The sequence below is a fragment of the Homo sapiens genome, chromosome 20 (genome assembly GCF_000001405.40).
Source record: "Homo sapiens chromosome 20, GRCh38.p14 Primary Assembly".
Taxonomy (NCBI): Eukaryota; Metazoa; Chordata; class Mammalia; order Primates; family Hominidae; genus Homo; species Homo sapiens.
The window spans coordinates 6727701-6739562 of NC_000020.11; the positions used below are offsets into that span (position 1 = coordinate 6727701).

At 40.8% G+C, this 11862-nt stretch overlaps 1 long non-coding RNA gene across 1 annotated transcript; it reads right to left on the minus strand.

Moving 5' to 3' along the window:
- Window positions 1-3040: 3040 nt before the first annotated feature.
- On the minus strand, window positions 3041-8436 carry LINC01713 (long intergenic non-protein coding RNA 1713). Its single transcript, NR_146909.1, has 3 exons — window positions 8077-8436; window positions 7339-7424; window positions 3041-4043 (listed from the first exon to the last, which is right to left on the minus strand). It is a non-coding gene; the product is annotated as a long intergenic non-protein coding RNA 1713 (long non-coding RNA).
- Window positions 8437-11862: the final 3426 nt, after the last annotated feature.

Below are 11862 nucleotides of genomic sequence, written 5' to 3' on the forward strand. Positions count from 1 at the left end.
GATTCTTTTCACTGAACTATAGCTGTTTCCTGGAGTAAATGCAAAACATAGAGAGAAACCCAGGCATCTTATGGGCATTTAAGAAACAGAGGTGGTTATTTTGTATGCTCATCATTAAAAAAATTGGATTATTGTTAATTTTGCAATTCCTTTTGAAAAATTCCAAAATTTCTTGTAAATATCAAGAAAAAAAGAACAAGAAAAGCTTGCATGTTTGTTTGTTTTATGTCAACGTAGAGCAGCAGAGGTAGAAAGGGTTGAGTGCCCTTTAGGAACAACCATGGTTGTACTAGCAGCCACCCTATTGCCTAGAGACTGGGCGAAATCTGGCATCATTAGACTAAGGAGTTGCTGGCTATTGCTGATAATTCTTTTTCAAAAAATCATTCATTTCTTTAGAGATGAAAAGCCTTAGCCAAAACAAGTATATCTACAACAGTACTATTTCAAAAAGTATTAGGGAAGATACTTTGAGGATGATGAGAGCTTTATATTACCCTTCCTATTGATTCATTTGACTTGCACCTGTGATGCCAAACTCTCCATTAGTTTTTCCTAACCACTTAATTAACTTTTTGAAAAACCAGGACCAAAGACCAACCATTGAGAAGGACTCGTGTAGGTCATGATCTGATGAGGGCAATTTGCTATGCCTCCTTTTTTATGTTGCCAAAACGAGGACCAGAACTCTTGTGGACATTTCCAAAGATTCACACCAATATTATGATGTATCCTTATGTAGTTACCACAAGTATTTATATTTCCAAGTAGATCTTGATGCCTTACTTAGCACAACTGAACCTATTATCACAACTGTTTGTGACTTCTTGGTGACCTGGACTGTGAGGCAGCTGCTCCGGCCTCATGACCCCATTTTATGAACCAAAGTTAGTAGCATGCCTAGCCAGCAATTCCTCAGTTCTTGTGATGTGTGTGTGCATTTACGTGTGTATGTGTGTGTAAATGAAGGTAGAGGATTGAAAATACAAAAGAAATTTTTTAAAACAATTGATACTCTTCACTGAATAATAACATGCTTATAAAAAGTGCACAGATTATTTTTATTATTATTATTTTTTTGAGATGGAGTTTTGCTCTTGTTGCCCAGGCTGGAGTACAATGGCACAATCTCAGCTCACCACAACCTCCGCCTCCTGGGTTCAAGCGATTCTCCTGCCTCAGCCTCCCGAATAGCTGGGATTACAGGTGTGCACCATCACGCCCGGCTAATTTTGTATTTTTAGTAGAGATGGGGTTTCACCACATTGGCCAGGCTAGTTTCGAACCCCTGACCTCAGGTGATCTGCCCGCCTCGGCCTCCCAAAGTGCTGGGATTATGGACATGAGCCACCACACCCAGACAAAAAGTGCACAAATTATTAAATGCAGATGTAGATGAATTTTCACAAACTGAACACACTTGAGTAACTAGATAAATAAACAGAACATTACCAGCTCCATGGAAGTTCCTATTGTATTCCTTTCTTGTCACTACCCTGACCAAGAATAACCCCTATTTCTGACTTCTGACACTATATATGAATTTTAGACACATATACAAATGTATCATATAGTATACTCTTTTGTATCTGGCTTCTTTTGCTCACCATAATGTTTATGAAATATCCATAGTGTTACGTGTATTTGTATAATGTTGACTCTCACTGCTGTCTAGTGATCTATAAGTTTACCACAATTTGTTGATTCATTCTACTATCAATGATTACTCAAGTAATTTTCAGTTTGGAGATATAAATAGCACTGCTATAAATCTTTTAGTACAGGTTCACTGATGCTCATATGTATGTGTTCCTATTGCATATAAACCTGGGAGTGAAATTGCCAGGTCACAGGTTTGCATATGTTATGTTTAGTGCGTACTGTCAGTTTTGAAAAATAGCGGGCTCAATTTACATTACCCTACACACAGCATAAGAATTTTCTTTGCCCTACGTCCTTCCAACACTAGGTATTGCCAGAGGTTTTTATGTCAGCCATTCTGGTGAGGGTATTTGGTAACTTGTTTTGGTTTTAATTCACAGATGTTAGATATTTGGATATTGTCTTTGTTGAAGTGCCAGTGTAATCCTTTTGCCCATATTTCCATATCTTTCTTAGCTTAAAATCTCCTTCTGTCTTCTCTATTTTCTTTACTCCTTGGAGGACTATTAACTGCTTTCCATTAAAAACCCCAAATATCCAACAGCATGTAGACAAATACACTGTGGCATATTCATACACTAGCACACTATGCAACAATAAAAAATAAATGATCTCTGGGTACCCACAGCATACATAAAACTCAAAACCATCATGACAAGCCAAGTAGGCCAAATACAAAAGAATACATGTAATATTCTACTTGTATGACATTCTAAAACAGGCAGAACCAATGTAGAGTGACAACAGATCAGTGGTTTCCGTGAGTCAGGAGGCAGAGTTGACTGCAAAAAGGCGCGAGGGAACATTTTAATGTGATGGAAATGTCCTGTCTTGATTTCAGTAGTGGTTACATGGGTCTATCCATTTATTACAACTCCTTGAACTATATACTTAAAATGGATAATTTAATTGTATTAAATTATACCTCAATAAAGTTTATTTTAAAAGAAACCCTTTGGGAGGCTGAGGCGGACAGATCACCTGAGGTCGGGAGTTCGAGACCAGCCTGACCAACATGGAAAAACCCCGTCTCTACTAAAAATACAAAATTAGCTGGGCGTGGTGGTGCATGCCTGTAATCCTAGCTACTCGGGAGGCTGAGGCAGGAGAATCACTTGAACCCGGGAGGCAGAAGTTGCAGTGAGCCGAGGTCGTGCCATTGCACTCTAGCCTGGGCAACAAGACTGACACTCTGTCTCAAAAAACACAAAAAACAAAACACAAAACCCTTTACTGAGCCCTACCATGTGTAACCCATAAGATATGGTGAAATTAGGGCTTTTCATAGGCCACAGTGATCAGTCAAGATGCCCGTAGACCCATGTGTACTCCACCCAAGAATCCTATCTTTCTAGAAGGAAAGGCCGAGTTGCCAACACCCGTTGAAATAACTGTTTTTATTGAAGACATCACAAAAGGCTGGTTCTGGCTACCTTGGCCACCTCATACCCCACAAATGGTTTTGTTTCCGCTCACTTACGGCTGCCTGCCAGTCACCCAGTAAGCAAGCCAGCACACTTAACAAGCTGGCCCATCACCACATTTAAAATATACAACGCAAACGCAGGCATTTCCAAACCCTGTGCTGGGGAAAGAAACCTCCCCAGTGAGTTTTCCCAACATTTTACCTTTTAGAAGCCAAACTGCAGTCATTTTTCCCTTTGACTCTCAAGGGAAATCTGACAGGGACCACGTTTCAGAAAACTTGTCTCCCATAGAGCACCAGAGCTGCGGTATTTTAATAGCCTCTCTCAGCCCCTCCCCTGGGAACATATTATTATGTGATCATTAGTGATGGGCAAACCTCACTGGGTTTCCAGGTTTGAGTCTGTGCCAAAAGTTCAGAGTTCTTCTTTTCTTGACAACTCAAAATCTCCCCTATTTTTCCCTTTTATTTATTCATTTGTTTGTTTATGTGTGCTTTGCTTGGTTTCTTCCTATCTTACCACACTCTCCAGCCTTTTCTCCACTTTACACACAGAAGAAAGGAAGGAGATGGGGCAGAAAGCATGAGTTTCTTGCTGGTTTCTCTCCATTGAGGTGCACTGGATGAAACAGAATTGTAATCAGGCCCCAATTACTGGCACAACCAGAAAAGAGTGACTAGACACCTGCTATACGCCCAGGACCACAATTCCGGGGGTGCCCAGTGAGTTTGTAGGTGAGTAAAGGATAAAGGCTTTTCTTAGAAGGGTTCCCATTCCAACTGGGATGCTGGGACAAACAGGCCAATAGATGTGTTGACGAAGGCATGCAGACATTGCTCCACCAATATACTTTAAGGACTAAGCAGTCAAGTTTACAGGAAGACTGAATGCGGTGCATTAAGAAGTTGTAAAACAAACGTGAACATTCTTCATTTGTGGCGACAATTGCTGTTTCTGGAATACAAGAATAAGGCATTGAATTCATTATATTGAAATTCAAACACTCCAACTGAAGATTCCTGTCTATATTTTCCCCTCTAGAAAATGGGAGCACTAATATTTATTCCATGAGCTATATTGTTGGTTATGGAGCTAAGTGGAGTACTGAATTTATAAGTTAGGGATTACATTCAATTCAAATCCATTGAGCCTTGGCCACAAGGCTGACACTCAGGCCTGTGTTTGTAAACTGGACCCACTAGCCAGGGATTCATAGGGTCATGGGGACAGTGGGGACACATAGTCTCAAGCCCTTCCCATCTTCCATTAGAGGAATCCCAGAATACAACGTGTCCCATGACCTTGTAGAAGGCTGGGAATGTCCAGGTCAGAGGCAACAGCTGGCCTAGGAGGGCTGCCAGAATTTCCGGGACACTGATGCATTCAGAATAGGAGAAAAGGGAACATTGGAGGGGGTGCCTGGCAGGGGGGAAAGGGAGAGGAAAGCAGAGGGAGCTCAGAACTGATAAATTCAGATTTGTGTGTTTCACTCAGCCTGAAAACACCAGTGAATCACTTATGCTAATTCGTCTTTTCTCTTTAACACATTTTCTCCAGTTTGTCTGAAACTATACTGTGTCTACTATGAATAATTTCACACAGTTACAACACAAAATTTGTTTTTCTGCCCAAAAAGCAGTCACTTGTTCTTGGACCAGATTCTCCCAATGTGTCCTAAATCAGGGAGATCATTTCTGCCACGGTTAAGGCCTTCCCACTGTTTTCTGTGAGGCTGCACTTCTTAACATACCTGTTCCTTACAGAAATTTGCTAACAGACTAAGCAGATTTGTGTCCTAATCATTTTTTTGTTTTCTTTACAGAACATTTTGATTCTCCCTTAACCTTTATCATATTGATTGCTGTTGGTAGACAGTCTTGGGGCAGAAAAAAAAATGTGTTCAGAATACTGTAATTTATGAGTATTGTCATTTTATGATTGCATTGATTTTTATTTTAAAAGTGGTTTGCAAACTGAAAATTGACAGAAGGTAGAAATGCATAGAATCGATAATGATATCAGAAATGCACAAAATATCTAAAACAAGGAAGGTAACTAGATTTCATCTCAGGTGCCAACCCCATCAATTAGTAGTGACTGCTGGCAATGTTGTTCTAAGACGGAACCTGAGGCCACTTCCAGCCTTAGCAGGAAAAAGGGCCAGGAGTTGATTAGTAATGTCTGCCATTGCGGTGCCTTTATGGTGAGTGGGGAAGGGGATGGGCAATGGGGTGTCAGCACAGACATGTATATTCTATTTCTGGTCTTGGCAAATGTTCATTCAAACAACTAATATGTCAAGGAAATTATGTGGGAACTGACCAAACTGAATAGAGACCTGAGCGTTTCCTTTTGAGTATGTGGCTGGATCAAAACACATCTCGAGGTACTGTTAACCCGACGATTCCTCATCTATGTAATCATATTTTTATCCTGACACATAAGTAAATGACTTGGAGATTGGTCCTAGTTTAAGACGTAAGCAATAAAAACACACTTAAAATTTGCACTGGAAATTGAAAATCCCTTTCATGTATACACATGCAACATGCTATTCACCCCCTGCTGCCTTCTGCATCTTTCTGGTGCCATATTCTTTGTGCCTCCTAGACAGAAGCTGTGGAACTGATGCTAGAAGAAAGAGAGAAATTTAAATGAAGAAATGATGCTGTCATTATTTTTAATGGTTGATTTGTTTTTCTTGTTTACCTAGAAAACAGGTGGAGAATAGAACAAAGAGATTTTTGGCCTGAGCCAGGACTGAGAAACCAAGTCTAGTTAGTGAGTCAAAAAAAGAAATGATATCCCCTCTCTTATTATGCAAAATCTCATAAATGCATCACCTGTATGAAAACTCCTTGGACAAGTCTTAAATCTTTTCTTTACTTAAATGCTAATAAATTTGGTTGCTAAAATAGAGGGTGTAGGTTACCTTTCAGGCTAAAGCAGGGATTATTTGTTTACATAGGATCAAAAATAATAATATGGCATATATAAATATTTATAGTAGGTCCTGGAAAAGTACAGATGTATACAATTGTGCCAAAGAGAAAAACATTTTCTTTACAGCATTATATTCATCAGCCCTTGCCACAATAAAGCTGCATAACAAATCACCCCAAATCTTAGGGGCTTACAACAACAAGCCTTTATGTTTCTCACTCATGGGTCTGAAGGGCAGCTGGGATTATTCTGCTTCAGATGGGGAGTTGACTAGGGTTGGCTCTAGGCTTGAGGTTGGGTTCAAATCTGTTCCATGATCACATTTCAGGGCTCAAACTGATGAGGTTCTTGCTACCTGTGTTATACTCTTCGTATTGTGATCACAAGAGTGGAAGGGGTGAGTGAAACAGCCTTTTCTGGGACTGTCCCACAGTCATTTCTACCCACATTTCACTAATTAAAGTTAGTCACATGGCCAACCCCACCATCAATGGGTAGAAAAATTGAGTTTGCTTCTAGGAAAACAAACTGCAAAGTTACATGGCAAAAGGTTCACACCTTTTGTGAAAATAGGAAGTGCCAAGGAATTGAGAAAATAAACCAACTTACCAAAAATATTAAGAGGCTCTATTTAAAACATTGAATAGGGAAGTGGTATCATGAGGTAAATAATAATAATAATAGTAGTTAGTATTAAAAATCAGGCTTTGGAGCCAGGGTAATCTGACTTTGAATATTGGCATCATTCCTTTCTGACCATGTGGCTTCAACAACAGGCAGACCTTGCAAATGCTAGAACTGGAAAAGCATTCATCAGCAAGACTTTGTGGATATCTATCCCTGTGCTCTTCCACGAACAGGAATCAGTTACTCTTTGCTTGTATGTTTCTCCACTTGGGCAGTTCAGGTTTCTTAAAGATATTATCTAATCAACCCAGCTAACGTTGTGCCAGTTGGGGCATATAATTTTGCAACAGGATGCCACTGTCCAGTCTGTGACCAAGGCATGTGCGTACTTCAGGTTCAATCAGCTGTGGTGGTAAGGGCCGAGGGGGAGTCATACGTAATAAGATTTCCTTGACAGACATGGCTGGTTGTCTACCAAAGCATTATGCTCTTAGAGGAAAGCTGCTGTTAGGCTGGGGTGTCCTTTCCTACATTTCCCGGAGCCTCTTGAAACTAGGTTGGATCATGTGACTAAGTTTCCCCAATAGAATGGAAGCAGAGATTATATGTACCACTTCCAAACAAAGGCATCAAGAAGCTGATGCCTTTTCTACTCTCTACTTTCCCATTCAGTACTTACATGGTGAGAACTCCAAGACCCCAGAGGAGGGCAGAGCCACAACAGGGAAAGAGGTTGGGTAACTGATTGATCATGTGGAAGGCTTCCTATGAATGAGACACAAACATTTGAACTCAACTTTTTTTTTTAATATCAGTCAATAAAGACTGTCCATTTCACAGGGTTGGAACAGAGCAATTGCCCTTAAAAAGGGCTGATGGCATAGTAGTCATTGGGATTAGGGTGTGGAATGAAGCAAAACATAAAAGGCTAATCAGCAGAGCAAAGACTTCAGCTGCAGAGGTCTGAACATGCCCCGCTGGGAGGGCCTCCCTGATGCCACACTCAGCTGAGAAGGTTGAATTCAATAGGAAGTCAACTGTAACTGCCAAGGAGTGTGGCCTTCATAAGGGATGAGCTCCAAATCCACACGGTTGTCCACATTTCCACTGTCACTCATCAGGGAGAGCTTTCACTTAACACAAGGATGTGAGGATTTCCTTTGTAAATCGGTTGTTCCTCTGGATATGGTTTCTGAAATATCTGTCTTAAGGTCTAAGCTGCTCTCTCTTTCCATGAGAAGCTCTGCTCACCCAACTCAACCAGTTTTAACCAAATTTTAAAAGCCATTGACTCTCTAGGGAAGGCTGATTTCTCTCTTGGCCTCCATCTATAGCCAGCACTGGCACCAGCTATACTTACTTAAGCTCACTGATGAGGAGGAGGAGCAGGGAGCTGTTCTCTCATTAATAACCATACCTTGACCCCAGTTTCAAGCTCAGGGCTTTGGGGGGTGATGGTAGCCTGGGCCAGAGGACACGGCTAAAGGAAGTCCATCTTTGTCTGCAGGGTATTCCAAGGCCAAATAGAAGGGAGGAAGAAGAAAGCTCAATCTCTCTTTCTCTCCCTCCCTCTGTCTGTCTCTCTCACTCCCTTCCTCCTCTCTCTCATTTTCCTGACACAAATCCAGTTATCCAATTGCTGCCTTCCTCCAGCTGGCGCGCTACCCAGGCAGTTGAATTTACTCCATGCTCCAACACTTTCTCTATGAGCTGTGCTACAACTGTTTCTGCTTCTCTGGTTAAAGACGGTTCTGTCTTCCCTTGCCTGGATCTAAGCTGCTTGCCTCTCATTAACAGAGTCCAACCTCAGCCTGTGTGTTGCCACCACCCACTTTCCTAGTTCCTTCCCTTTCCTCTGACAGACACACCTTTATACTGTAGGGCTGACTTCCTTTTGGACCCCAAGAATCTGCTAGCTAGTTGCTCCCAGCCATGGGAATAAAAGCAGAGCTCCCTTTTGGAACTCCATGGTCATCGTCATAAACAAGAACCTCCCAGACATCAGTGGTGGAATGGGGGCCTGTTCAGCTCTTGGAAACAAAGGCTTTATTCTGAATCTTTTCCCGACTGATAACCAGTCTGTCATTCTAAGTGGGAAGGGTGGGGGTGGCAGGGCATTGAAGAGAGGGGAGGAGAGTACAGAGCAGAAAGCTTATTAACCTTTCCAAGAGGCTTGTGATTCAAGCTTGTGGAGCTTAACATTTTTTTTCTCTCCCAATTATTTTAATGATGCTGCAGAAAGTCCTAACTTCTGTGCTGAGACTGTGTTGCTGCTACGGTCTGGGCTGATCACATGGTAACATTCCGACCCAGGCTTGGTCACCCCGTAAGAAAAATCAGCTTGGGAAAACCACTCCTCCTTCTGCATGCATCTCAGTCTCTCTCTCTCTTAAGGAAAAAAAAAAGTCTCCTTTTTAAGAGCTTTGAAGCTTAAGTCTTAGATGTGAGCTTTGCTTCAGAGTTTATTAGTTATTATTTTATCCCCATTCACCACTCCCCTTGAAAAAGCTTATGTTCACCCAGAATGGCAATTATTTGACTGTAATTCAAACCATTTTGTGTCATGTAGATCCAGGCGCATTGCTTGATTTCAATAATTAAGGGAAGGTACCAAATATTTTTGTCGCTAAAGGAACTTTAGTCACATAAGCCAGTTTATCAATCATTTTTTTCTTTATTAATCTTAATGTATCCCTCCCTTATCTCATTTTGAGCAAGAAAATTAAGCCAATAACATAAACTTAAAAGCTAACTACTGTAGTCTGTACTTTGAACCCAGATACAAAAGTAAACATTCCTTCCTATTAGGTTTAAGATCAAGACGTATTAATTTAGGAGGTTAACTAATACTTAGCAGGAGGCTGATTGGGGGATGGAGATGTGGGAGGAAGAAGGCAGGAGGAAACAGAGGAGAAAGTGATTTTTCACTTCTGTGCATGCTTGTGCAATCTTATCTGAAGGCACTGATACATTTTTAGTAACCCACCATGAACAGCATCAGAGTTGGGATAACTGGAAAGATGGAGAAATCTTTCTGCAACCCCAGCCCCCCTTTCCATTTAACAAGAGCAACTAGACCCTGATGAGATTGGAGAGAAATCCATTCTTGCCTGGATTGTCACCTACACATATCTTAAAGTTTTAACCATTCGTGTACATATCATCTACCGATGGGTAATTGCACTTATTGTAAGTACAGCTTGGTGAATTGTCAGAAATTGAACACCCCTGTGTAACAAGCACAGGGAACATCAATTGCATCCCTCGAAACCCCTCTCATGCCCACTTCTAGTCATTACCTCCCCAAGGGTAATTACTGTACTACACCTGATATTATAAATTAATCTGCTTTTGAATATATCATCTGTTTTAATGTGGTTTTGGCCATATAAATGGAATCATAGCATATATACTTTTGTGTCTGGCTTCTTTCACTCAGTGTTTGAGAAAGTCACCATTGTTTTTGTGTGTAGTTGTAGGTAGTTCATTCTCTTTGCTATTAATATTCCATTATACACCAAAAAATTGTATATCCATTCTGCTGTTGGTGGACATTAGGGCAACTTCCAGTTGGACTACTATGAATAGTGCTGTTATGAACATTTTGGTACATATCTTTTGGTAAACACGTGTACACATCTTTGCTGGGCTTAATTCTAGGAAAGAAATTGCTGGATTTATGGTATGCATGTGAATTATTTTAGTAAAACTTGCCAGATAATTTTCCAAAGTGGCCATAACCAATGTATACTCCTGCAAGCAATGTCTGAGAGTTCCAGTTGCTCCACATCCTTGCCAGTACTTCATATTTTCAGTGTCTATTTTTGCTCTTCTGGAGGGCACGTGGTGACAATTGCATTGTAATTTTACTTTGCACACCTCACACACATTAGTTTTCATTTCTCTGCTTTAGTTAATTTCCAATCATCCCCTGACCTAACAGGAGCCAATCTGACCATCAAGTCATCCCTTTACAAAGACTCTATCTTTACTGAGATTCTCGTAACACCTCCTCCACCTACCTACATGGACTTTTCGTTTTGTTGAGCTCTTGTTGAGCTTAGATATGGAGCCACTCCATTTATACTCAATTAGCTGCTGGGTAGTGTCCATGGGCTACACGTTTTTCCTGTGTTGTTCTGTCTTCCCAACTGGAGATAGGTTTCCTTGGCTCTGCAGAGTCCAGCTCTGCAGGCCCTGTTCACATACACAAACCCACTGGGCTAAATTCAGATGGGCATAGGCTATGCCCCTATTGGACTGGACTTTGTATTTTTCACCCAATCATTCTGATGCCCGATATCTTTAGCCTAGATGCTTGATATTGATTAAAACCACTCAAGAAGTTAAGTAGTGTGGGAAGTCAAGTAATGCGGAAAAAAATAAAAGCACAGTTCTTACAGTTGGAGCTGGGGTTGAATTTCATACTTACCAGTTTGGTTCTTTCTGATCTTAAGAAGTTACTTTTTGATCCTGAGCTTCAATTTCTACATATACAGAAAGAAAATAGGGTTGTAATGAGGATTCGAGAAGATAACAGCAAAGTGTCTGGCACATTGTAGGTGCTGCAAAATTTATTTCTTTATGCCCTTCTTCTTTGCAGAGGTCTTAGCCTCTCAGGTTTATAAGAGGATAAAACTCAAAATGATTTGTAGATCTTTAGTTTGGTTTGGCAATCAACAATTCTTCCTTGTCAGCCTCTCTGAAATCAAGCAGTACACTAAATGAGGTGGTGACTTTTGAAATAAATTTAATAACTTCTTCAAATATTTTTTTGAAATAAAATTAAGGAGAATATCACTTCTGAAGTTTAATTAGGGCCCTTAATGGCAAAACTTTCTTCAAGGCAAAGCTAGTTAACAGCTTTTATATCATTTCCATCTTGCTATCTGCTTGGCCCACTATGACAAGGAGATACCTTAAGTCCTGCTCATGCAAGTGGCATCCTTCTCTGCTCTTAAGTATGCGATTAAGATTCAGACATCTCTGCTTTTAGGAGGGTGTTTGGAGAAGTAAATGAGGGGAGAGATTTGCATAAGAAATTTCCTGCTCTTCCCTGGAGGATGTTGGCAGCCTTTTTCAATGGGCAGGCAAGCTCTGGAGTCACATACTGACTGCCCCTTAAAATGACTTAAGGCTTGGAAGGGTGGCCTCTATTTTTCTTCTTTTTAAACATTGCTGTGCTGAGCCAATGTGGGTTGGT